The sequence below is a fragment of the Homo sapiens genome, chromosome 1 (assembly GCF_000001405.40).
Source record: "Homo sapiens chromosome 1, GRCh38.p14 Primary Assembly".
NCBI classification, from domain to species: Eukaryota; Metazoa; Chordata; class Mammalia; order Primates; family Hominidae; genus Homo; species Homo sapiens.
In genome coordinates this window covers 119,366,685-119,394,678 of record NC_000001.11, presented here as the reverse complement: position 1 = coordinate 119,394,678, position 27,994 = coordinate 119,366,685, and the positions used below count along the sequence as shown (strand labels likewise).

Sequence of the window (27,994 nt, the reverse complement as noted above, 5' to 3'; positions counted from 1 at the left end):
GTATATATATATACACATATGAGTATATATATATATAAGTATATATATATGAGTATATATATATGAGTATATACATATGAGTATATATATATGAGTGTGTATATATATGAGTATATATATATATATATATATATGAGTACATATGTATATATACTCATTAAGTATGAAACACTACTATTTCTTAAACTCCTACTAGGTGCTAAGCATTGTGTTCTGAACTTCAAATACATCATCTTACTCTAACTTTTTCCCAACCTACTGGCTGAGGGAGTATAATCCCCATTTTATACACCAGGACTCAGAAACACAGAGAGATCAGAAAACTTGCCCAAGTCACGTAGCTTGCCAGCAGTAGTCCTGACTGTCAAACCCATGTCTGTGTGGCTCCAAAGTCCATGTCCTTAACTATTTCCCTATTTTCTACAGATAGGATTATGTTTTTATTGGAAAAATGCCTTGTATATACAGCTCCTCAGTCCAGAGTGCAAAGTTAGATAGTCATTTCATAGAGTTGTATAGAGTATGCAAAAAATATCACCCACTAGTGGTTCCAGTCATTAATGATCTGTCCTTTTGAGATCTTTTACTTCAGAGGAAGATTTAGGCAAGAGAGCAACATATAATAGTCAGTGATACAAAGAAGGGCATGGAACATTTGGGGAACACAGGGGTTTGGAGGGCCTGAAGCACAGGGGTGGTGGTATTAGAAATGTGGGAAATATGGGCCATGAGCCTCCGGACAGAATGGGGTCCAGGAAGGACAGCATCACACACTGTGCTGTGAGTTTGTGATCCTCCTGTGGGCAACCTCAGCAGTCTGGTTATTGGCCCTTTTTTCTTACAGCCTGGAAAACTGGACCAAGTTTCGATTGATCTCAGCGACCGACCGGCAGCCTAAAAGAACAATGTGGTTACAAGCTCATTTTTGTCAAACACAAGCAACTCACCTCATCATGGGTAAGGGGTGATGAAGGGGAGCAAGTCTGACTTGATCTTTGTGCTCACTCTTATAAAATGGTTTACATACAGAATGAATAACGTAATTCTGTTTGCATTGGGTATTATTCTGTGAACCTGAGCCCAGGTCATCTCTGAACATGGCCATGTCAAAATGTCAGGGTAAACATGTAAAAACCCTATTTTAGCATTTTCTAAATCAACTCTTGTGTGCAATAGATGTCTTTGATCTTTATCTTGGTTCTGATAAGGCTCAGGGATATAGGAAGTATCTTTTCGGGAGGAATATGACACACAGATAGCAAAAGAGATGGGGTGAGTATTCCACATGACAATTGCCTTCTAAAGGAAAGTTCTGTCAAAGGAAAAGACTCTTCTTTAGAAGAAGATATTAATTAATATGTAAAATTATGACTGTAGCTCAGATTGGACATAAGGATTGAAGAGAGTAACTCCAGATAAGTAAAAGAAGGGAGAAAGAGAAGCTGGCATGATGTTATGGGGCTGGGGAGTTGTGGGCTTGAGTAGGCAATGAGAAGTCCCTGGTGATGAGAAGGCTGAAAGAATGCAATAACAGGCTGCGTAACGTTTAACTGGGAGTTCTTTCCATATTTATGATGTGTGCACCATAACTTTGGCAAAATGTATTATTCACAAAAATATACTAATGAGAGGGTCTTTTCCTAAAAGTGGAAGCATAGAAAAGAGTTGAGTTTCATGCCTGGGTTGACTGGAGTGGACAGAAACAGCAGGCATGGGATATGTCAATAGTCCGTAAATTGAACGAATTCAACAGAAGCAAGAATTCAGAGCCAGAGGTGACACTCCCCAGAGCTGTCAATGATCTTGAGGACAGCTCTGGTTTCCACTGTGCAGAGAATAGTGCTTAATCTTTGTCTTGAAAGTTGCCTGCCTGTCCTATCTTTTGGACAGCTACCACATCAGGAAAGGGTCTGCTAGAGGGAAGGACTGCTGCTCCTATTCTTTAGCCATCCTGCTTTAAGTTCCAAATCAGGGAAAACATGTTAACTTACCTGTAAGGGCCATGGAAGTGTGGAACTCATTTGTTAAAATGTTCAAAACTTCCTTAACACCATGTTCACCCTGCTCCCGAGGCAGACAGACAGAGACACAAAGAGACATAAAGGAACATTCTGACCATCCACTAGTATAAATTCTAGATGTAGTCAGAGCTATAATGGGAAAGATGGGGATTATCTGTGAAGTGAGAATTACCTTGGGAATAAAGGAAAGCACAGAGACAAAGATAGGGGATGAAAGCTATTGAACATTTGCAATGGGCTTCAGAAGAAGCATGGAGATGCAGCTTAGGTGTAACTATCCTTTAGGAATCATTTTGAAAATGTCTAAGCTTGGAAAATGAACCACAGGAAAGCACAGAAATGAATGAGAAGCTCTGTATCTTCTTGCTGGTTTGCTTTGCCACTCTCACCTTGCAGGCAAGGCCCCATAGGATTGGTCTCCCAAGAAAAATGCACTTAGCTCCAAGGGCCAGAGCCTTCAGCACATCATTGCCAGTTCGGACCCCGCCATCCAGGTAGACTTCAATTTTCCCCTTTACAGCAGCCACCACTTCTGTCAAAGCATCAATCTGAAAAGGAGATACACATGGGCTGGAGGGCTTTCTATTTTGACTCTCAGACTTGGTCTTCCTGGCATATGACCAGGAAAACCAAGCTGAGGAGACGCCCTTGACAATTTCTTCCCCTCCCATGCTTGAGGCTGCTAGCGCTGATCAACTGCAGCGGCAGTCACATTCCTGAGGCCCTCCTGCCTTGACTTTCTGCTTTGACTCCAGTCTAGCTTCTCTCTGACTCACTTAACTGTCTTACAAGTTGGAAGAACTGCTTGGTTATTCTTTCCATCCTAAAAGGGACATTTTCCACTTATAATGTTTACTTCAACTTTCTTCTTTTCAAACATTTTGACTTTTGATTTTCTTCTACTCTCTCTGTTTCTAGGGTGGCACAACTAGAAAGGCTCTCCACTGCAAAGGCACTAAGTCTTTTTGGCAAGACAAGTACACTTGACCATGGCCTGCATGTCTGGATTGCATCCTGACTTGGGAAACTGGGTTGAACATTATTTCTCATGCACCACTTGACCAACTTGTCCCTGACTTCCTCATGGCGTATCTGAGAAAATGAGATAGGACTAAAGTACAACACGGTAAAACTAAAGTTTGAGCCTTTGACAGACAAAATAAAAACATCTTATCATCTTGGCCTGATTTTCCTAAGGAACTTTGTCTCTTATGTTGCCTCTTCAATTCCAGGGAACAGGCAAATAGGCCTTGAGCACACAAGGTGCCCCAGGCCGATCTATGCTTCTAGGCACCTACAAGTCTGTAAAGAGGAGTGACAAACAGGCCCCTTATGGATCAAGGCGGAAGATCCTTGGGGAGGGAGTTCTGGAACACCCTCAGGGTTTTTGTCTGTGCTTCTCTGAGGGATGGCCTGAGAAGAAGAGTCAAAACTGGGCCCTATGAGGCCTTCTGCTGCCAAAGGAATCCATTAGCATTCTACCTGAATGGGATACTTTGGCTGAGACTGAACAGTATAAGAAAATAGTGAGGAAATAATTTTCTACTTTAACTTATAGGTGGGGGCGGGGAATTGAATATGTTTTGAACTTACATGTAATAACTAGAGAGAATTCACATTCTAATAAGAGGCATTTTTTATAGTCCCAGCATGGTATTATTTGGAGTATTTTTATAATGTTGTGAAAGAGGTGGGAACTTCTATGAGGAACTTTGAAATCACCTGATTTCAAACTATAGTATCTGAGTTTTTGGCACTCCCCTAGAGTCTGTGCCTGAGGTCAGTGTCCCACTCCCTGCAGGTTGTTGCCAGTGCTATAAAAGGTAAGGATTTTGAGAAAAGTTCCCACCTCTATGAGGTTTCATATCTAACATTGTTCTTGTACTTCCTCCTAGGACCAGGGGAAAGGATAAGTCAGCTGTTGTCCCCAGAAGACTCTAATGAATGTCCTGTTCTGTCCTATTAAAAATTAACTCTAAAGCCTCACCCTAAGGTAAAATTCACTCCCTATTTTATTTCACAATTATTATCAACTCCACTGCATAGTATGGCTCACTAGAAGAGTTTGTACAAATGTATTTCTCTTTCACAACATCATAAAAATATTCCAGCTGGGCACAGTGGCTCATGCCTATAATTCCAGCACTTTGGGAGGCTGAGGCGGGTGAACCACCTGAGGTGAGGAGTTCGAGACCAGCCTGGCCAACATGGTGAAATCCCATCTCTACTAAAAATGCAAATAACCAGGCGTGGTGGCCAGTGCCTGTAATCCCAGCTACTTGGGAGGCTAAGGCAGGAGAATTGCTTGAACCTGGGAGGTGGAGGTTGTAGTGAGCTGAGACTGCGCCATTGCCCTCCAGCGTGGGTGACAAGAGTGAAACTACAAATAAAAAAAAATAAATCCAAATAATACCATGCTGGGACTATAAAAATGTCTTTTATTTGGACATGAATTCTCTCTCGTTACTAATAGTCACCAAAACAGCATGGAACTGGTATAAAAATAGGCACATGGACCAATGGAACAGAATAGAGAACCCAGAAATAAATCCAAATACTTACAGCCAACTGATCTTTGGTGAAGCAAACAAAAACATAAAGTAGGGAAAGGATACTATATTTAACAATGCTGCTGGGATAATTGGCTAGCCACATGTAGGACAATGAAACTGGATCATCATCTCTCACTTTATATAAAAATCAACTCAAGATGGATCAAGGACTTAATTCTAAGACCTGAAACTATAAAAATTCTAGAATATAACATAGGAAAAACCCTTCCAGATATTGGCTTAGGCAAGGATTTTATGACCACGAACCCAAAAGCAAATACAGTAAAAACAAAGATAAATAGCTGGCACTTAATTAAACTAAGGAGCTTTTGTATGGCAGAGGAACAGTCTGCAGAGTAAACAGACAACCCACAGAGTAGAAGAAAACCTTCAAAATCTATACATCTGACAAAAGACTAACAACCAGAATCTACGAGGAACTCAAACAAATTAACAAGAAAAAAAAAAAAAAATCTCATCAAAAAGTGAGCTAAGGACACGAATAGATAATTCTCAAAATAAAATATACAAATAGCCAACAAACATATGAAAAAGTGCTCAACATCACTAATGATTAGGGAAATGCAAATCAAAATTACAATGCAATACTTCCTTACTGCTACAAGAATGGCCATAATCAAAAAATAATAGATGTTCATGTGGATGCAGTGAACAGGGAACACTTCTACACTGCTGGTGGGAATGTGAGCTAGTACAACTATTATGGAAAACAGTGTGGAGATTCCTTATAGAACTAAAAGTAGAACTACCATTTGATCCAGCAATCCCACTACCAGGTATCTACCCAGGGGAAAAGAAGTCATTATATGAAAATGATACTTGCACGCATGTTTATAGCAGCAGAATTAACAATTGCAAAAATGTGGAACCCACCCAAATGCCCATCAATCAATGAGTGGATAAAGAAACTGTGGTGTATATATATATATATATATATATATATATATGATGAAATACTACTCAGCCATAAGAAGGAATGAATTAATGGCATTCGCAGCAACCTGGATGAGATTGGAGAGTGTTATTCTAAGTGAAGTAATTCAGGAATGGAAAACCAAACATCATATATTCTCACTCATAAGTGGGAGCTAAGCTATGAGGATGCAAAGGCATAAGAGTGACACCATGTACTTTGGGGACTAAGGGAGAAAGGGTGTGAAGGGGGTGGGAATAAAAGACTACAAATAGGGTGCAGTGTATACTGCTCAGGTGATGGTTGCACCAAAATCTCACAAATCACCACTAAAGAACTTACTCATGTAGCAGACACCACCTGTTCCTTAATAACCTGTGGAAATAATTTTTTTAAAAAAACTCAGATAAATGATGTTTGAACACAATGTTTTAAAAAAACAAATGGCAAACTCTGACCTGTGAGCTGGAAGTTTGTTTTTATAAATAAATAGACCTGGGGCTAGGATTAAGGTGAGGCAAGTGAGGCAGGGTTATACAAGCACAGGGTCAGGTTTCACCTGAAGCAAAACCCTCACGAGACTCACACTGATATTTGTGCTGTCTCCAAGTGAACTTGAGTTTGGATGTGAAGCCAAATGGCTTGGGAGAATATCAAGTTGATTAGCACAATAAGATAGGAGAAATTCTCCTCTCCCTGGCCCCTACCTTAGCCAATACTCATTCTCTAGTGGGGAAGCACAATGGGAGAATTAGTCTTCCTCTTTGTCTACTCATTACTCAGTTATTCCAAAAGAACAAGACCAGCTAAGTTGATTAATGAGAGCCTGACACCTATTGTATGATGTATTTTATTAGCTTTCTTTCAAAAGCCTATATTCTACTGTTTGCTGCTTGTTGGTAATGGGCTCTTCATTGCCTTCTGCTCCTATTTAGGCATAGTTGGGATGACCCAGGGCATGCTATGCTCTTTTGCTTTCTCTGTTTTGCTAAATACTGGATGGCTTGTAGGCATCCTGGCAGGGGTTGGGTGAGAGAGCTCAGTGTGTGCTCAGCCCAACCACTTTCTCCTAAGTTTGCAGGTCAATAGGTGAGATGAAAAGCAGGAGACCCAACCACTTCGGTTCAGCTCTTACCAGAGAGACACAGTGAAGGGTGACCCCTGCTCTCCACGTGGGCTTGCATTCCACTGCCTTTAGCAGTTAGAGCTGGTGCAGAGGAGGAGGTGAGTGGCTGGCTCTTAGGCTTCCAAGCATCACGTGTCTTGGAATGTACCAACCAGCTAGTGCAAATTTCTAATTCCTGGAATTTATCTTAAAGAAGTACTTGAGATTGTGCTATGGATTCAGTCACTGATGTGTTGTTTAAAATAGGGAAAGATTAGAGGCAATACAGATGTTCTACAATGGAGGTTGGTTATATAGTTGTCTGTTCATACTACATACCATTAAAAATAAGAGGAGCATATATACTGAAACAAAAAGTTGCTCTTAATATAATGCTAAGTAAAAGAAAAAAACACAATATTATTTATACTTTTCTTAAACACCAAAAATTGTATTTGCATTAAGAAGATGTTAACAGTGACCAAAATGTTGACGTTAGTGATAGTGATAAAATTAGTGTTAATTTTTATCTTTTGCTTATGTATGTTTTCTAATTTATCTGCAGTGAACATGTTTTATTTATATAAGTGTCAATGAAACTGAAGAGGAAAAAACCTCATTTCTCTTTCTTAAAACAAGTCAAGCAGCAATAGAACATTTGAAAAAATATAACTCAATGAAAACAAATCAACAACAAATTCCCATGTAAAGATTCTTTCCCTGCCTTACTTTCTCTCACTTTCTTGCCCTCAAACTTCATTTATAATGAACATAAATTTATGAGTTAAGGGAAAAAATTATGGACTTTTATAGATTTTAGCAAAAGACACATCAGGGTGTTTTTAGAGTTTTGCCATGAAACGTGTTTACTTTAGAACATCTGTCTAATCAAATTCAACATTAATTATTTATTATCTTAAGTGAACTAAAGATAAGTTATTTAACATCACTAAACTACAGTATCCCCATTTGCAAATCAGGGATAATAACACCCATCTTGCAGCATTGGCATGAGACTTAGAGATGCTATATGTAAAGGTTGAAAAAACAGCTTAGCACACAGTAGGCTACTAATAATAATTAACAGTCCTTAAAATTCACAGATACATACCAACACATGTGGTACAGAGGAGTGAAATATGCTCAGATTTCACAGAGTCCCTTGATGTGGACACACTCACACATACACACACAGCACTCACAAACACACCCTTCTCTGAAGTAATCCTACTTACTGAAGCAAGAACCTCATCAAGCTGCCTCCCACCATGGTTGGAAACAATGATACCCTGGACATTGTGCTTCACAGCTAACTCTGCATCCTCTTTTGTCAAAATCCCTTTCAGGATGATGGGCAATCGAGTTATGCTCTGAAACCAGGAGAGATCATTCCAGCAGAGAGAAGTGCTGATAGGAGTCATCTGGAAATAAGGTATTGCATTTCCCTATAGGAAATAAAAAGGGAACTTAGTCCTGAGCTCTCACAAGGCTACTTGATGCATTCCAAAGATGAGACACATTTAGAGAGCTGCCATTTATAAACTGGAAGGAGGAAGAACAGGGCTGGGCATGGTGGCTCATGCCTGTAATCCCAGCACTTTGTGGGGCTGAGGCGGAAGGATCTTTTGAGCCTAGTAGTTTGAGACAAGCATGGGCAACACACAGAGACCCTGCTGCTGCTCCTCTAAAAAAATAAATCGTGGTGCATGCCTGTAGTCCCAGCTACTCGGGAGGCTGAAGTGGGAGGATCGCTTGGGCTCAGGAGGTCTAGACTGCAGTGAGTAGTGATGGCGCCACCACATACTAGCCTGGCTGACAGAGTGAGACCTTGTCTCAAAAACAAACAAACAAACAAACAACAAAGAAAACAAAAAGAAACAGGAGCAACAAAACCCAACAACGTTTCTAGCTCCTTTGTCTAACAAACTTTGTATAAAAGAATTTCTACTTCAATTGCTTATCATTGACCATGAATCATGTTGTTGTCAGTAATTGTGCTAGGATCTGGGGACACAAAGACAAATAAGACAAAGTTTCTACTTTAAAAAATTCAGAGTTTAGTATATAAGATGGATAAGCAAAAGCATTTATTGGTCAATGTGATATGTTACGGTTGAGGCATACCCAGGATAAGAACTAAGCAATACTAAATCAGTTATTACCCAATATTTACTCTTGGCTCACCATGTACATCAAACATTTATAAATCTCAATGTGCTTCTGGAATTTGAATAAGGATTTTGGAGCACCTCAAGGCCAATCTGTGATTAATGAGAACTGTTGAGTTACTTGGCTTGGTGTCACAGTTGCCCACTGGTTGAAAAGGCTGGCTTTAGTATCTCTACTATAGCCAGGGATTCCCACTTTATCATGGCTGTCTCTCTCTGAGGCACTTCTTGCCATTTAATTGTAGGATTTTAATGGGGAAGGTCCCCTTTGTAGTCACCTAGTTCAGAGATTACAAACAAATGTGCTATAGCATCCTGGTGCTCCACAAATGAGCTCTATGTGTGCAGAGATATTGATTCCTCAGTTTCAAGGCAGTAAGGTAGAACCTGGCCTGTCTAGACTGTCTGGCCAGTCACTTTGGTCATGAACATCCCCTTTGGAGAGTCAGTTTGTCTATGTATGCCATCCAAAATTAGCATTTTCTGAGTGTGTCATAAAGTAGAAAATGTTACATGAACTTTTTTAGTTTACTCTCCAGTTCGTGCAAAAATATTTTCCGTGGCTTTCCTATTTCTCAGCATCCAGCTCTGGCCAGAACACTTCTGGTGACAAGTTGGGCAGCTCCAAGGGTGAGAACATTTGGTCTTATGTTGATTGTGCTTGTCTGGAAACTCTAGGGAGCAGGAACCATATCTGCTTTTTGAAACTGCTTTATCCGCAGTGTCTGGCACAGAGCAGGTGTTCGATAAATGCCTGTGGAAAGAAAGAATGGAGGAAAGGAGAAAAGAGGGAAGGAAATTTGCCTCTTGTAATGCCTGTCCATCGAATTTGGTATCTTTCTTACCTTTTTAGGTGATTGAAGATCTGTTAGTGTTAAGTTCCTCCTCAACTGGTTTCGAATGTCATGTCGCCTGTTGCCACATACAGGTGTATCCAAAGTTATTACCAAAGCTTTGAAACCTAGGGATTCTACCCTCTGGATCAACTGTTTGTTCAGCTGCAGGTCTGGATGCACATAGAGTTGGAACCATCGGAGGCCTTCGGGAGCTGCAATGACAATGTCTTCAAGGCTACAGCTGGCAAATGTGCTGGTGATGTAGCAGATACCAGCCGCTTGGGCAGCTGTAAAGCAAAGGACATGACTCAGGCTGGAGGGCAGAGGCCTCTGGACTGGGCTGAAAACCTTGGGAGTCTGTGTAGCCTCTGGCCATCTTGCCCCATGAATGCAGATAAAGCTTAATTTCATTCTGCTTCCTTGTAAGAAAGGGATGGAAGGCAATTTGATCAGGCTGAGAGACCTAAACCTTTTTGGGTTCTCCTCTGTATAACCTGTCTTACAAACCCTCTACTCGATAACAAAATATTTCCAGCTAAAGATGCCATGCAATCTCCAGAATCATGTTGGTTGTGTTATAGCCTTCAGACAGGCAACTGGGCCTCTTATGAACTCCTTAATGAAGCAGAAGAGAATTAGAGAGGGCAGAGGATGAGGGAATGTAGTTCCAGTGGAGAATCCTGAACTTCATGGTGGAAAAAGCATAGCATATGAAATTAGAAGAATGCTAGTTCTACCCCTTCTTTGCTGTGTGGCATTGAGTCTCTCATTTTCTTTATCTGTAAAATAGGGAAAATAATAATACATGTCTTTAGGATTGTTGGGAGACTGAATAAGATACTAGCTATGGCAGCATTCTTTACATTGCAAAGTGGTGTACTGCATAGATACCAGTGCTAATGAAGTTGATGGTGATGACGTTCATATGGCTGCTGCTGACTGGCAGATTTCCCATTTCCTACTTTATTCATTTCAATGAAATCTCCAACAGGTTAATGTCACTGTCCCACTATAACTCATGGGCAGAGAATTTGGGCTAATCAAAAATTAACATTTTCAATTTTTCATGTCAACAGGAGATACCCCATTCTTTCATCCTACCCCCAAACAACACATTCAACCATGATGACTTAGTAAACTAGTCACATTCATATAGGATATTAATATCTCAACCTAGCTAGACCTGGTCCCTAGACCCCATCAAGATGGATGTCACATTCAGCTCTAGAATCCTTGAATCCATAGCTTCCTTCATCATGGAGTCAAAGGAAAAGACCTCAGGGAAGCGCTGAGAAATTCACAAAAACAGATGTGACTTAGAGTGAAGATTACGAAAGAGTCCCAAGAGCATTTTCAGCCCCATCTCTCCTTTTCTATTTATTATTATTATTATTATTATTGGCGGTGGTGGTGGTGGTGGTGGTGGTGGAGAATGTGGGATGAGAATTAGGTTGACTGGGAAGGAGATGTAACCCAACAATAAAATCTTTGTCAAACAAGATGACAAGGTCAATTGAAGAGAAGGAAAATGGAATAGTTGGGCAACAGCAGCTTCCAGGGCCTTGTGTTAGGACCTAATGTCGTGATTCTCTCCTCATCCTAAATTCAGAGTCTGCCATTCAGCCCTAGCCCTGGCCCATCAGGGGCCAAAGAGGGCCCTAGCCTTGGGGCTGCGTTAAGCATCCCTTTCCCTACAGATGGTGTGAGCCAGAAGGGCCAGCACCCCTGTTCTGAGGGATGACTTGGTTAAATTTTAGCACCTTCTTATTCATCTGTAAACCCCCTTGCACTCTAACTATTCTTTATTATGGAAAATGAATGTTTTCTCAATCTTAGGTTACACAAACGTAGCTTTAAGCATTCCCTTTCCTGCCTTCCTTAGTGTTAACCAGATTATGTTCCTAAGGCCCTTCTAGAGAGAATCTTGGAGCCTCTGCCACTGCTCTGAGGGACACCTCCTCCCGGAAAGGAGCCTCGAGGTGGGGATGGTTCATACCTCTTGCTGTGCTCATTTCCCCATCAGGCCAGACAAGGCAGTGGAACCCTGTGGGTGCGATACAAATAGGGGCACTGATCTCCTCCCCTTGGATTGTGGTTCTGGTGTCCACCTCAGACACATCTCTCAGGTACCGCGGACGGAGGCGAATTCTGTGCCGGACAACAAAGAGATCTTCTGTTGGTGAGATGATTCTGCAGCAGGGAGGCGTTGTCTGGGGTGGACCCCCCTGATTCCTGATACAAGTCTAAACCAGACAGGGTCCTGTGGAACCTTGGTGGGTTCAGTTGGCTGAGAGCTGAGTAACCTATGTTGATCCAGGAGGAGACTTATCTCCAGAAAGCCGCTTCCAACACCTCATTCCCCATTTCCCAACCTTCTCTGAACCACTTTGTGCATACCAAGTCCACACTATTCCTGCTTTGCTCTGTCAGAAGTCTGTGTCTTTGAGTCATGCCTCCCAGACTACACTGCAGCACTTGGATGGTTTGGTTCATCATAACAAGGACTAAAAAGAAAAGAATAGGTAGGAAGAGGTTCCAGTCTCTTTTCCTCTCAGGTTAGGCCCAAGTCTCCAGAAAGTAAGAAAAGGTCACTGAATGAGAACAAATCCCAGGGAGTGATTGAGGCTTTTGTGATAGAGGCTAGTTAGTTTGAAGATTTGACTTAAACACTGCTTTAGAAGAAGGTAGGAGAATTTACAAATAATAAATATGCAAAACACACTTTTTAAATAAATGCATACTTAGCCTCAGGTGTCTAAGATTTTCATTGTTTATACAATATTATTATTTTTGCACATAAACTTAGAAAAATTTTCTGAAAATTCTTAATTGTGCAAATTTGAGTAAGGTAGCCTCAGTCACTTCATCTGAAATAGGAATAATAATCCAAATTTCCTAATAGTTTTGTGAAGACAGACTGAAATAAATGATGTAAGGTGCCTCGTATAGTGCTAACTAAGTATGAAAATACAGAATATAGGGCTCCCTTTTATACCATTTTTCAGTTTTCTCCTGACCTCTGTATCACAGGAATCAGCAAGCTTTTTCTATAAAGGGCCAGAGAGTAAATATTTGAGGCTTTGTGGGCCATGTAATCTTTGTCACAGTTATTCAACACTGCTCTTGAAGTGCAAAAGCAGCCATAAACAATAGTAAATGGCTGAGCATGGTTGTGTTAAAATAAAACTTTATTTATGGACACCAAAATTTGAACTTCATATAATTTTTATGTATTACAAATTATTCTTCTTTTGACTCCCCACCCTCAGCCATTCAAAAATGAAAAACCATCGTTAGCTCATGGACCATACAAAAATAAGTGGCGGGTCAGCCTCTGCCTGTGGACTGCTGTTGGTTGACCGATGCTCCATCTCCTACTTTTTCAGACCAACTCTTCTCCCCTGACTCAATCTCTTATTATCTTTGAGACTCCTTGGATCTCCATATTTTCTCCAAACCTGAGTGTTCTCTCCTGTCTTCCATTTTCTTCTCCAAGCCAGAGTTTAGGAACTCAGGAGATCTAGGCCTCCCAGCAGGCCCATCCTCCCTGCCTAGGGAACTGGTCATTCTGGGACTCTTGTTCTATCTTGTCAGGTTGCAAAGTTGCTGAGATGAAGGAGAATGACTCACTTATGCTGGCTATAACAGAAATTCCCTCTTTTTCCATCTTCCCATCAGCCCTCCCTCCCCTGCCCTAACAAACCAAAACAACAACAAAATCATCCACATTATTAGGTCTTGAGTGATCTGTGTTTTTTGGAGGCAGAAACCAGGACTACTACTGTCCAAGTTGCTCTCCACCAGTGCACCTTAACCTAACAATAGACAGGCTACAGAAGACCACACCTTTTAAATGCTGCAATGTTGTCATCCCGCGTGATGCTGTCATCTGCTCCACCTTCAATAAAATCCCGAGTTGACTTAGACAGCTGCTCTCGCGCATGGGCCTGAAAGTCTGTCAAACACACCAAGGACATTTCTGGACCTTCCAAGGAGAAAACAAAACCAAACCAAACCCAGTGAGAACACTTCAGATGCAGAAAAGGAAATGAAGGGGAAGCTGCAGTATGAAATTGTTTGGATTCAACATTGGTCTCCCTGTATTCTTATCTTAACAGAGTTATTGCTAAAGCCAGTGATCCCTAAGCCAGAAGTCAGAGAGTAATCGTCCACCCTTCCATTCTCCCATTCCCATTCCCATTCCCAAATCCTGATTATTTGGCCTTCTGAGTATTTCTTATATCTTCTCCTCCACTGTACACACACCACCTTAGACCTAGTTGAGGCCCCACCACTTCTTAAAAGCTTATTACAAAAAATTCTTATTTTTGTATCTTGCCTTCACATTCACTCCACATCTTGTCTTCCATCAGCTTCCTGGGATCTTCCTAAAGTTCAAGGCTGATCATGCCTGCCTCTTGTCTTTCAATGTGCCCACGTCATGGCATTCCCAGCTTTCTAGGCCCTGGATTTTCACTGCCTCACCAGCTTCATTTCTTGGTGAACTGATGCTACTATCTGGTAGTTCCCAGGAATCTCAATGTTTGAATTGTCTGGAGCTGTGGATTACAGAGTGGGGAAAGGACAAGACAAAGTTTACTTTGTAATTCTTGGCTGGGTCGCTGAACATGTTGCTTAATATTATTAGGAGGCTCAAGGGTCACCATCTACCTTTTTCCTATTTTTGCTAATTTGGGTACCTGAGAAACAATGTATGTTGGCTCCATTTATTCCCATCTTCAATTTGAGCCCTATAAACGCAGAGCTTGGTACTTTTGATACAACACCCTGAAAGAGGAAAGAGGACAGGGCTTGGGGGTAATGAATAAATCTCTCCAGTAGAAACAGGGCAGTAGAAACAGCAGCAGAGACGCTGAAGACACTAGTTGCTTTCAGTTACAGCATGTAGAGCTCCTGCATGAGAGGATTCCAGAAGGAAAAACAGAGAAACCTGAAGTTTCTAAGCTCCAGCCAACTCCCAGGCAGTTGGCAGCCATGTGAAAATTAACCAAAGGTTTTGGGTGGAAACTGAATGGCTTTTAAGTCATTATCTAAAGGAAGAAGATAGGCCGCAGTAACTAGGGCTTCAACCAGGAATGGGTTAGTTCCTCTAATGGACAAAGGGGACACAGAGGCCAGATGAGATGTGAGGTGCTGGGAATCTTGGCTGGAGCAGGGATGGGGCAGAACTTGCTTGAGGATACCTCAAGTCAAGCCAGGATCTGTCAAGCCAGATTCTGTTGAAGTCAAACAGAGAAGTAGCCTTAGCACGTACTTAAGGGCCAAGCAGGAAGAAATTATATGACAGACAGGAAACAGAGCCCCCAGGAAGTGCATTGGGCTCTAGATGGAGGCTACGAGGAGTAATTTGGAGCCCAGCCATAGCACCTTTTATAGAAAAAGTAGTCTGCCAGTGAGTGAGGAGAGAACATTGAGGTATGGAGTTGAGTCTGACAAATTACTACAACCATATCTAATTTAGCTCATTCTTACTCCACCCTTCAAAGGGTTAATAAACCTTAGTCAAATGAATTAATCATTGCAAGTACCAATTATATCACAGTTGCTTATTTACAACTCTGTGTGCATAAAAGCATAAAAGAACTAATATATGATGCCTGGGAATTTTATTCTTCCAGAGATCTGCTTGCAATATTGGACCTTGGTTGGTGTCTGGGAACTTGGATTTCAACAGGGTTCCCAGTGTTCCCTGATAAGAGTGCCTCCCTGTGTATAAACTGTTTGTATAAACAATGTGGTTTATGATGAACATTTGCTTCTCCTCTGGGACTCTAGAATTTTGGTATGGGCTAGGCAGAGGGTGACCATATGACCAGCCTCCAACATGAAACTCTGGGCATTGAATCTCTACTGACCTGCTCAGGTAGGTAACATTTTACATGTGTCATCACATCTTGTTGCTGGGGGAATTAACTGCATCCCGCATGAGTCCACTGGCAGAGGACTCATGGAAGCTTACCCCTGGTTTCCTCCAGATTTTGCTGCCAGAGCCATTTTTCCCTTTGCTAAGTTTGCTTTGCATCCTTTCAGTAATAAAGCATAGCCTCGACTATTTGTTCCTCCTAATGAAGAACCAAACCTGGGACCCCCAACACACTTTGTATTCCCAGGCATTAGGATAGTACATGGCACTGAGTTGCTGCTTACAAATGTTCATTACTTGAATTTAACATTCCCCTGCCTGTCATTTATCTTCATTATTGGATGAGAATTCTCCACCAGGTTTCAACTCCTGATATCTCAATAAATACACATATCCTATACATTACACACTCATAGAAAGGCTGTTCTACACAATTCTAGCATATAAATGCCACAAACATTATGTCTAATCCAGAAGAAATGGCTCATGCTCACTCAGAGTCATGTGTCTAGAATAGTGTCAGTTATGTGATTTGAAAGCTGCTTGGACATAAAGAATCAACCCTAGCATCTTATATATAACAAACACTATTTTATCTCATTTCGATACCTCTTCTAATTTTTCCTTAGACTCTTTTCTATCTACAGCTTTTTCTCAGTGTCCCTGTGAAGAAGACAGAGAAGGTATTAGTCTTCCTACTTTGCATTTAAAGAGACTGAGGCCTCAGAAATAAAATAACTTGTGAAAGATCAGTGATATGGTTTGGCTGTTTCCCCACCCAAATATCTTCTTGAATTATAGCTCCTATAATCCCCACATGTCATGGGAGGGGCCTGGTGGGAGGTAATTGAATCATGGGGCTGGATTTTCCAGTGCTGTTCTTGTGAGAGTGAATGAGTCTCATGAGATCTGATGGGTTTATTTATTTATTTATTTTGAGATGGAGTCTCACTCTGTCGCCCAGGCTGGAGTGCAGTTGGTTCTGGACTCATGTGTTCTGGTAGCTTCTAAAGATAGACATTCTCTATTTTCAATTTAACGTAAAGAACAAAATAGTTGGTTCTCATAAATTGCTTGCTATATTTAAGAGAATTTTCTAGGTTTAAAAATACAATTATGCATTTTTTTCTTTTTATAATGTATGTAAAGCTTAGCATGATCTCAGCTCACTGTAACTTCTGTCTCCCCAGTTCAAGCAATTCTTCTGCCTCAGCCTCCTGAGTAGCTGGAATTACAGGCATGTGCCACCACACCCAGCTCATTTTTGTATTTTTAGTAGAAACGGGGTTTCACCATGTTGGCCAGGCTGGTCTCAAACTCCTGACCTCAGGTGATCCACCCACCTTGGCCTCCCAAAGTGCTGGGATTACAGCCATGAGCCACCATGCCTGGCCGAGCTGATGGTTTTATAAAGGGCAGTTCCCTGCATGTGCTCTCTTACCTGCTGCCATTTAAAACATGCCTTTGCTCCTCCTTCACCTTTCACCATGATTGTGAGGCCTCCCCAACCATGTGGAACTGGAAGTCCATTAAGCCTGTTTTTCTTTATAAATTATCTAGTCTGAAGTATTTCTTTTACAGTATGAAAATGGACTAATACAGTAAATTGGTACCTGGTAGTGGGACGCTGCTATAAAGATACCCGAAAATGTGGAAGTGACTTTGGAACTGAATAATAGGCAGAGGTTGGAACAGTTTGGAGGGCTTAGAAGAAGACAGGAAGATGTGGGAAAGTTTGGAACTTCCTAGAGACATCTTGAATGGCTTTGACTAAAATTTTGATAGTAATATGGACAATGAAGTCCAGGCTGAGGTGGTCTCAGATGGAGATGAGGAACTTGTTGGCAACTAGAATGAAGGTGACTCTTGCTATGTTTTAGTAAGGAGACTGGCAGTATTTTGCCCCTCCCTTAGAGATCTGTGGAACTTTGAACTTGAGAAAGATGATTTAGAGTATCTGGCAGAAGAAATTTCTAAGCAGCAAAGCATTCAAGAGGTGACTTGGGGGCTGTTAACAGCATTCAGTTTTATGTATTCAAAAATATATGGTTTAAAATTGAAACTTATTTTTAAAAGGGGAGCAGAGCATAATAAAAGTCTGGAAAATTTGCAGCCTGATGATGTGATGATAGAAAAGAAAAACCAATTTTCTGAGGAGAAATTCAAGCTGGCTGCAGAAATTTGCATATGTAACGAGGAGCCAAATGTTAATTGCCAAGACAATGGGGAAAATGATTCCAGGGCATATCAGACATCTTCTCTGCAGACCCTCCCATCATAGGACTGTAGGCCTAAGATGCAGGGCACCAGGGCCTTGCTGCTTTGTGCAGTCTCAGGACTGGTTGCCCTGTGTTCCAGCCATGGCTAAAAGGGGCCAAAGTACAGCTCAGATTGTAGCTTCAGAGGGTGCAAGCCTCAAAGCTTGGCAGCTTCCACATGGTGTTGGGCATGTGGATGTGCAGAAGATAAGAACTGAGATTTGGGAAGTTCTGCCTAGATTTCAGAGGATGTATAGAAACACTTGGATGTCCAGGCAGAAATCTGCTTAAAGGGGCAGAGCCCTAATGGAGAACCTCTGCTAGGACAGTGCAGCAGGAAAATGTAGGGTTGGAGCCTTCACACAGAGTCCCCACTGGGGCACTGCCTAGTGGAGCTGTGAGAAGAGGGCCATCATCCTCCAGACTCCAGAATGGTAGATCCACTGACAGCTTGCACTGTGCACGTGGAAAAGCCACAGACACTCAACATTAGCCTGTGGAAGCAGCCAGAAGAGAGGCTGTACCCTGAAAAGCCACAGAGGCAGAGCTGCCCAAGACCATGGGAACCCACCTCTTGCATCAGTGTGACCTGGATGTGAGATATGGAGTCAAAAAGATCATTTTGGAGCTTTAAGATTTGACTGCTCTGCTGGATTTTAGACTTGCATGGGGCCGTAGCACCTTTGATTTGTCTAATTTCTCCCATTTGGAATGGCGGTATTTACCCAATGCCTGTATCCCCATTGTATCTAGGAAGTAACTAACTTGCTTTTGATTTTACAGGCTCATAGGTAGAAGGGACTTGCCTTGTCTCAGATGAGACTTTGGACTGTGAATTTTTGAGTTAATGCTGAAATTAGTTATGACTTTGAGGAACTGTTGGGAAGGCATGATTGGTTTTGAAATGTGAGGACATGAGATTTGTGAGGGGCCAGGAGTGGAGTGATATGGTTTGGCTGTGTCCCCAACCAAACCTCATCTTGAATTTTAGCTCCCATAATCCCCACATGTCATAGGAGGGTCCTGGTGGGAGGTAATTGAATCATGGGGGAGCGGGTTTCACCATGCTGTTCTCATGATAGTGAAAAAGTCTCATGAGATCCGATGGTCTTATAAAGGGCAGTTCCCCTGCACACACTCTCTTGCCTGCCACCATGTAAGACTTGCCTTTGCTCCTCCTTTGCCTTCTGCCATAATTGTGAGGCCCCTTCAGCTATGTGGAACTGGGAGTCCATTAAACCTTTTTTTCTTTATAAGTTACCCAGTCTCAGGTATTTCTTCATAGCACTATGAAAATGGACTAATACAATCAGGTAGTAAGTTATTATGAGAGATGGTTCTGAACTCATGTGTCCTGGTAGCTTCTAAAGATAGACATTCTCATTTTCAATTTCAGGTAAAGAACACAATAGTTGGTTCTCATAAATGACTTGCCATATTGAACTCGAGATAATTTTGTAGGTTGAAAAATACAATTATATATTTTTAATATAATATATGTAAATCTTAGTAGTCTATTATTTTGGTTAGAGGTTTAATATAAGGTTTATAATTAAAGAAAAGGATACCTTCCTTGTTCAAAGCTTTTCCTAAATTTGGAAGTGAAGAACTTAGCACAATATATTTGTATATACTTTCTTTCAATTTGATCCCTACCAGCCTTGAAGCCACCAGAAATTAAAGGGAAGATTCAAGTAATCTAATGGTTTTCTTGTATTCCCACTTTATTTTGTCTTCTTGTATTCCCATTTTATTTTGTCTCCATTTCAATGTTTTTTCTTTTTTCCTTTTTTATTCCTACTGCCCAAGAAGAAGAGACAGAGGAGAAAAGAATAAAATAGCAAATTGACCAATTGCCAGCTATTGTTCTAGAAATTTTAGCTCATTTTAGCTCCTTGAACCTCTTTAGGCTTTTTGTCTGATAAAACAGTGAGGTAAAATTAGCAGACCAGTGACAAAGAGGAGGAAATCTGAGGGCAAGGACATTCAGGAGTACCTGTTGCTAACAATCTGAAGTTCAAACTCTCCTGACTGAGGGAAGGAGGAAGGAAGTAGAGAAGCTGGCAGGCTTTTCAAGGAAGACGTGGTTTTCTTTAATATTGCAATCTGATTTAACACCAGACAGATAAAAAGTTGTCTTCCTTTGAAGATTTTGTATGATTCATATGATTCATGTTGGTGTTGCTTTAGGAACTCAGGGTTATCACAGCTTATATTTGTATGGAAACCCCCTACACAGTCTGTGGGAAATCTCAGCGTGAAAATTGCAGGGTAGGCTGTGGAGATACAACGGGGGAGAAAAGTCAGCCTCTGATGACTCACTTTAAGGTACACTTGCTTGGTGCTATAGGATGGTGTCCTTCCAGAACCTCTGGCCTAGTTCTTTAGGAACTTATGCCAAGTTTCCCAATGGAATGTCAGATAATATCAAGGCTACATTTTACGGGCCTAGTTTGAGAGATTAGACTGTTCAAAGTTGGCTGAAAATGCTGTAATCAGTCTTCCCCTCAAGGATAGTGGATACAAAGGGTATAGCCATCACCATGGCATTGTCAACAACAGCACTGTCAGGGGAGAGGCTGAAGCTAGAGGAGACCCTGAGAATGAAAGAGGTGATGGGAGAGGAGAAGGGTCCCAGAGCTGATGGAGACTAGGAGAGCCATGTGCAGATGGCAGTGTTGGGTTCAGGGAAGACATGAATCAATGGCACTGGAAAATGCTCCTGTGACTGAGGCAGATGAGCCCCCAGCATGGGGAAGAGAGGGCAGGGGGAAGAATTTGGATGCCCAGGAACAGCAGGTCAGCCCTCAGAGTAAAAAGGGAACTGAGTGTTTCTAACATTGCAGTGATCTGAGGAATCAAGGATGGCATTTGTATGGGAGTGAGGGGAAAAGAAGCCAGTCCAGTTCAGATCTGGCAAGGATTAATTCCTGGTGCCTGTCAGCCCAGAATCAGCTCTGGCTTCTTCCCTGAGCTCTCACACATTGTGAATCAAGGATGCAGGAGCCTTCTGAACCATAATGGCCCTTTTTTTGTTTGTTTTATTCTGATTTATATAATAATCTCTCCTTTTTAGGCTGCCACTCCTCAACCACTCTCATTAGCCTTTTTTTGTTTCTACTAATGAAAATTCCCTTCTCAACCTGTAAGCATGTTCTACCATGAGGAGTATGATGCTTGAGTTCTTCAGAGTGGCTTCTTTAGTCATGATAGGGAGTGACTCATATCTTTGCTTTACTCTAGGAGCTTTGTGTGTCACGGATTGAAAGAGTTTTTGAGATTTGCCGTGGTGGGGCATGTTTATGTTAAGGACATGCTCACTCTGAAGTTATTGTGACCTAATTAGGCAATTACCTACCATTGTCCTGCCTCCCACACATCCTGCCTATTGAGGATTGGAAGACTATGAGAATAACTTGCTTGATGGAGCCAAGAAGGACCCTAGAGAGACAGAGAGATGTGCACAAGTTTGGCAGCACAGCTAATAAATGAACTCAGGTCTTCTGTCTCTGCATTTAGGGTTCTTTCTGAAATACGATATGACTCTTGAAATTGCTTCTGGATAGCCTGGCAATATAACTTAGAATTAGCTTCTCCTTACATGAGAATTAGCTTCTCAGCACAGACCCAAGATTTCTAGAGACTCAACTCATCTACACTAGATTTTATCATTCCACCTTCACCTCTACTCCTTCTGACCCTGCTTAGCCATGCCAGTAAAAGGAGCTCCACTTGAAGTTGGAATACGGAATAAACTTTTGCTTCATCCAGTCAGTGGAGTGGTGTGTGTGGCAGCCTGAGAGGCAGGCTGCTTCAAGAGAGATAGCTACTAACACTTATTTGAACAGTGGCAGGCTACATGTCTTCGCTCCAAGTCTCAGTTTCCTCATTTGAGAAAATATACATTTTTGTGTATTTCAGCTTAATCCATGATAGATTTGAAGCCACCTGAAATTAAAAGCTGAGCTGAGGTCCTTCAAGTACTCATATTCTGTGCTTTCTTTGCCCATAAACACAGGGAGCTGTTTAGATGAGGTCATATGAACATTCTAGTTCAGCATTTACTTCATGGCAATAAAGTATAGAACAGGGAACCAGCACAATATTTAGACATATTTGCCAACAACAAACAGCTGGGTGCTCAAGCCTGCCTTTGCTCCTCCTCCCCAGCCTGGAGGTCTTTCTTTTCAAGAACTTTTCTGGTCCCGTGGCACCACCTTATGGTTTCAGTGGATAACTACTTGACCAGTCTTGTCACTATTCCCTTTTACAAGAGGTACGGCCTGTCACACCAGCTGTTTTTCCTGTTCTCAGACCAGGTAATTGAAATCCGTTTTACTACACAGATGTGCCTCTTCCTCCTTTCTCGATTTCTCCAAACTATTGAGTGCCTTTCTCAGGGAAATCTTTCTCACGCCTTCTTCTCTTTTCCTAATCTCTCCCATCTCATTTCCTTTTTCATTTGCAAACCAAAAATAATTGTGCTATGTAGTCCCTTATGTCAAGAAGAACAAAGTGAAACAATTTTGAAGTCGCATTAGACCTAGCAAAGAACTTCAAAAACCTTTGAAAATACCCTCAAAGGCATCTTAACATTTCTTACTTACATTTCCACTGAATTATCTCTTCCTCTAATTAAGCCTACTTTTCTTCATCAGTTGCATATACAAGAAATTTTTAAAAATGATTTATTACACAGTTTTCTTAGTTTTCAGTTTTGGTTAATGACCAGCAATACAATAACATTGCTTTACAGTAATTTGCATTGCAAATATGCCAGATCTTCTGCTATTTTGTGTATCAAGTGGGTATTTTCAGTCACCTGGGAATCCAACCGCTATTTTAATAGCATTCTTTTGTGGGAAAATCTGTTCTGAGTTTCAAACAAATGCCCTCCAAGTAGAGTTTTGGAACCCAGCCATATTGTAAACTGTGTGCTGTCCATAGAGCGTTGAACATAGTTTAGGGCATACTGGGAGACATTGATCCAAATGTTTATATAGTGTTTTGAAAGATAAGGACTTTCTTATTCTTTCAAACAGTGGAATAATTTGATTATGCAAAGAGCCCTGGAGGCAGCATGATGGTTCCTTAATATGAATAATAATAACGACAATAATATTGCAACCATTTTTCAAGTACTCCATGATGTACCATGCACTGTGTAAATTGCTTTACATGCATGACTGTTTTAATCCTTGTGGAAATGTTCAACACAAATATTATCATCCCCATTTCACGGGTGAGAAACCTGAAGTTCAAGAGGTTAAAATACTTTGTTCAATATTACATATCTAGTAATGTGTCACGATTCCAGTGGCCTGGCTCTTAAGCACTATAGAAAGAAGAAAATGGGCACAGCCAAGTGTGGTTTATGGAATGACAGAGTTGGCACGGACCTTAGAGGATTAAAATGTCATGGACATATGCAACTTTGCTTTCTTCCCTCAAAAAATCATAACTCAATCAGAAAGTTAAAAAAAATCTTAATTATTCAGCCAATCACTAAAAAATAACTTCTTATGTTTAAATCTGTCTTAACAGTCTACAGAGCACTCTTCTATACGTTATTCCATTTGGTGCTTACAACAATCCAGTGGGCAATCAGAGAGTGTATGTATGAGCCCCATGTTATAGATAAAAACATTAAAGCTCGGATAATTCACGTGAGTATCCAAGCTAATGCAACAGAAATGGCAAAGCCTGACCTGGAATCCTTCTGACTTGTTTCCAATGTCTTTGAGCCAGTATGGAGTGTTACTGGTATGGGGGAGACATTTAAGTCTCTGTTCTGAATGGTCAGAGAGTTGCATAAAATGAGCTTGGTCAATTCCCACAAAATCCAGGCCATTGGGAAAGGAGTTCTATGTGACACTGTGAGATCACTGCACCTGCCTCTTCATCTGCTCAACAAGGATAGAATGTGCAAAACAGACATCAGAATTCACACAAAGCTCCAAAACAGGCTCTGACGTCTACTCTGTCCACTAGTGACTTCAGGTCTTGCAGGTGTACCTATATCTCACAGTGGCAATCACTGGGTTGTAGCAGGAGAGAGAGGAGAAAAGGCAGAGCAGTTGGGGATGGAAGAGCCCAGCTATGGAGTGCAGTTTTTTCTCTCTTTGCCTTCCTCCTGGCTTCTCTGTCTACGGCAACTACCCAGACTGTGTTTCTGAAGGCCATTGCTTTCCACCGATCAACTGTGCCCAAGGAACTAATGACTGAGGGAGTCAGTGGAGTAGAGAAGACAGACTATATTATAAGCTTTGGCACTTGGCAAACATAGGCTGAAATCTCAGCTCTACTACTGGCTCACCACGGTTCTGTGCAAAATTTATTTGTTAAAGGAGAATATTAACATCCATCCCATAGGGCTGCCATGAGGACTAAGCAGTATGGCCCCTTTGAAATTTCTAGAACAGTGCCTTGTATAGACTAGATTGTTAATAAAGGCAGCTCCATGTTCATTATTCCTCCTGTTGATGACATGTGTGATTTCATCTGAGGCTCTGGAAGTGGAAAGCTGCTTCAGGATTTGAGTATTTCTGTCATAGTATAATTTAAACCCTCTGTCAGATTTACTCATTAGTTTATCCAAGAAGGTTTATTGACACACACTCTCAGCCAGGGTGGCGGAGGCATATACTGCTCCCCACATGCTTAACATTTCGCTGTTGCTTAAATACAGGCATGGCTCTGTGACTAGTTCTTCTGGCCAATGGCCTGGGAGTGGGAATAGCAGGTGTGAATTCTAGGCCAAGGATTGAAGAGCTGGTATGTGACCCTCCAGCTTTGTTTCCTCCTCTACAGCGATCCTCCATCCTCAAGAAGGCAAAGCTGTAAGAGAAAGGCCACTTGGATTCCCAAAACGCCATTTGGAAAAGGGTAGCCCTGGAGATCAGCTGATATTGTGTAAGGAAGAAATAAATATTTATGTGTTATCTCACTAAGTTGTTAAGGTTTATTCTTTACTATAACATAGCCTGATTTAACATAATATATCAAAGTATTATGCTAAACACTAGAGATATGGGGGGGGACCTTTATCACATCAGTTTCTGCTCTCAAGAAGCTTACAGTCGAAGAAGACAGACTTTCATAGCTCATCATTTGATAGCTGATACGATTTAGAGTACAACAGGAGTCCCTTTGAGGGGAGAGTTACCTGGGAATTTGGCAATATTCCCATTACCTCTCAAATGATATACCACAAGTGATGTTCCACTCAATCTATTCTAGACAAGCTCCAATTCTCATCTATCTTTAAATTAGGTTATTACTGTCTATCTCATAGGGATCTTGTGAGAATTGAAGGATCTTGTAAAATGCAGAATATAGTAGTAGTTAAGAATAAAAGTTTGCGGATTTTGCTTCCTGCTAATGGACGCTTTATTCTGTTCCATTGATCTGTTATCTATCTTTATACCAGTACCTCCCTGTCTTCATTAGCGTTCTTGGCAGTTCTCCGCAGGTTGATCTGTAGATTCAACTTAACACAATCAGAGGCTCTTCATTAGTGGGACTTTGTAACCCATTTGTTCCAAATAAGCTTATTGCTCAAAGGAACTACATTGTTTGAGACACATTAACTTCTTTACTTTTTTAGGAGCATAGCCATGTCACTGTTTTCTTTTGCTTGTGGCCGGGAAGCAGTGGTCAGAATACTAAATATATCCCTGAAGGCAATAGCAATACCTTTTAGGTTTTCAGAACGCTGTCAAGTGAAAACATTTTAACCCATTTTTCCTCCTATGGACACCCACGAATATTCCACCATACAATTCTAAGACTCAACTTCCTAGACTTAACCTTCTCTGTCTGTATCCTTTTTGAAACCAAATCTTCCTTTGCCCATGCCCTCTGAGTTCCCTAACACCTGTCTCCCTAGGACCATCTTTGCCAAGGTCCTTGCCTTGCAAACTCATAGTTGGCTTCCACGATATCTTCCATTCCCATCCTATCTGGCACTTCATCACCCTTCTCAGTTCCAAGCACACAGAACACACTCAATGACAAACCTTATTCTAATGTCTTCCAGTCCTCAGGGAAAGAAGTGTTTAGACGCAGCCACTCAAAGCCTGGCTCACTGCCGGAGGTGTTAGGAAACACACCACATCACTACCCACAGTTCAGGCTAAAGAAGAGGCTGAAGTCTCAAAGTTAATCTTTTAATGAAAACATCCAGCTTAGCAGTAAATAAGCAACTAGGCCAGAGCAAGGTTGACTTTGAAAGAATTTTGCTGACTTTGCAAATTTACTTCAAAATTAAGTGAAGTTTATTACAAAATTAAACTTCAAAGTGAAGTTGTAATTTCCTACCTGAAATCACCCATTCCCTACCTCTAAATTCAAACTTGATGTTGTCCTCTGCTCATCACAGATTGTTAGAGGTAGGGAGTGGATGATTTCAGGTAGGAAATTACAAAAGTCCCCGGGTTGGAGGAGGGGCTTTTTGTGGTGATGGGGTTGGGGTGGGAGAAGAGCAAGCACAGCCTGGGAGCCCATGGGCAGGACAGCAGTGGGGACCCAGGCCAGGACGGTCCGAGCTTTGGGGATTTTGGAGGGTGCATAGTGTAGAGCCCTCCCTGCCCACAGAACTGTTCTGGGGAAGTAATTATGTCTAGATTAATATGGGAGTCAGGGAGAACCAGTGAAATTTTTGAGTGGAAAATTATTCAGGAATGTAGAAGAAATGCTAGGAAAAGCAAACTTAAAAGTACATGGAAAAATAGAATTAATTTCTCCAGAAGAGTTCTGTAGGGGTCCCAGAAAGGTCACTAATTTGTCCAGGTCTGTTCGTCTCCACTCCTCCCCCAGCTCTTGCCACTGCTCCTTAGTATTGCCACAGCTCACGTGTGTGATGCGCTTACGACGTGCCAGACACACTACACGCATTACTTCATTTGATCTTCACGGAAGGTCAATCTTTTCAAGATTGTCTCTTTTTCAGAAGAGAAAATGAGATTAACGAACATGCCCAAAGCCTTTCAGCAGTAAAGAGCAGAATTGGGATTTGAACCTAGCCTGTAGCCAACACACGGAGCAGAGGAGGCCGAAATCCTGAGCTGTACCGATGACCATAGCAGTGGGGTTTGCCTTTCCTTTAGAACCTGTAGTTAGAGAGCAAAATGATGAATTTACCACTGACTTGTCATACCATCTCCACTCAAGGCTCATTGGCTATTTATTTGGAGGGTAATCCCTACCTGCTATCTAGCCACTAGAGGACAGTATTACCTCAAAAATGCTTTCAAAAGTAGCCAAAATCTGGGTTCTGGAAATTTCTTTTCCATAGCAATTTTCACAATCTCCATAATCAGCCTCTAGGCCATGTCCTCGGTCAGCTCTCACAACACCTGGCCTGCTCACAGTCCCCTGATCCAGACCCTCCCTTGCTGTTTTCCAGACTCCGACTCTGTCTCTCCCTTCCAGAAGGAAGCCTGGTGATGAGCACACACTGGAACATGGTGCTCAAGCTCCAAACTGCAGCCACTCACTCACTAACATCCACATGTTACTTAAATTCTCTGTGCCTCAGTTTCCTCATAATACCTCCCACACTGTAATGAGAAGTAAGTGAGTTAATACTTAAAAGATGCTGGCAGTAGATAGAAAGAACAGTAGAGCTTCTCATGAGAGATTCTCAAGTTTGAAATAATGACCTTCTTGGAGACCTTTTAAATCTGATGATTGCACTGAGTTAAAGAACATCATCTCTACAAGGTAACACACTCTAATATCAGCCTCTAATGTTTGCACCTAAGTGAACTAATCTCAAATAGGGGATATAGGGCCACAGGCAGAGCTATTTGAGGCAGCATTTTTGCAGCACCTCTTGAATTCCAGAGAATGGGTCCATGGATAAGACAGACCAGCTTTGGACCCACCAGCAGGCTTGGAGAATGTTTCAGGATGAGGTTATGAAAAGATATTGGTTTTATTCAGGTGGTCATAGGGTACCCATTGAGCAATATGCCTGCTTATTTTGGATGAAGAGAAATGTCGGGTCATTCTTGAGCTGTCATGACCTAGTCTCTTAGAAAGCAAATGTAGTTTCACAGTAGAATAGAATGCCAAAATTCTTCTTAATGGAGGGGATTAAAAACATGCTAAGTCCTCCTGATCACTGTGGTCCTGTCCTAATCCAGCCATCTATTTTTCCTGAGGTAATTCTGGAAGTCAGGATGAGCCCAGGACTTTGCAGTCTGTGCTCAAGCCCATCAGGGTTAAAGATGA

The 27,994-nt window shown here is 41.5% G+C and overlaps 1 protein-coding gene and 1 long non-coding RNA gene across 11 annotated transcripts; both read right to left on the bottom strand.

Moving 5' to 3' along the window:
• On the bottom strand, positions 549–25,894 carry HAO2 (hydroxyacid oxidase 2). Of its 10 annotated transcripts, none has more exons than NM_001005783.3 (9): positions 25,777–25,894; positions 13,956–14,175; positions 13,463–13,601; positions 11,613–11,764; positions 9,626–9,903; positions 7,848–8,057; positions 2,411–2,569; positions 1,992–2,061; positions 549–894 (listed from the first exon to the last, which is right to left on the bottom strand). In NM_001005783.3, the coding sequence occupies exons 2-9, from the start codon at positions 13,984–13,986 to the stop codon at positions 839–841; spliced, it is 1,095 nt and encodes a 364-aa protein (NP_001005783.2). In that variant the 5' UTR covers positions 13,987–14,175; positions 25,777–25,894; the 3' UTR covers positions 549–838. The 10 variants fall into 10 exon arrangements, with proteins under 10 accessions (NP_001005783.2, XP_047278110.1, XP_024303252.1 ...); XM_047422154.1 differs by having other exon boundaries at positions 9,626–9,828; XM_024447484.2 differs by lacking the exon at positions 1,992–2,061.
• HAO2-IT1 (HAO2 intronic transcript 1) lies at positions 24,348–25,733 on the bottom strand. Its single transcript, NR_046780.1, has 2 exons — positions 25,671–25,733; positions 24,348–24,595 (listed from the first exon to the last, which is right to left on the bottom strand). It is a non-coding gene; the product is annotated as an HAO2 intronic transcript 1 (long non-coding RNA).

Excerpts from the sequence above, each read along its gene's own strand:
- HAO2 (XM_024447484.2), bottom strand. The coding sequence starts at position 13,986 with ATGGAAGACAAGATGTGGAGTGAATGTGAAG. Across the intron at positions 8,058-9,625 it reads ATCTTCAATCACCTAAAAAG|GGAAATGCAATACCTTATTT; the intron begins GTAAGAAAGATA and ends TATTTCCTATAG. Across the intron at positions 2,570-7,847 it reads TTGATGAGGTTCTTGCTTCA|ATTGATGCTTTGACAGAAGT; the intron begins GTAAGTAGGATT and ends TCTCCTTTTCAG.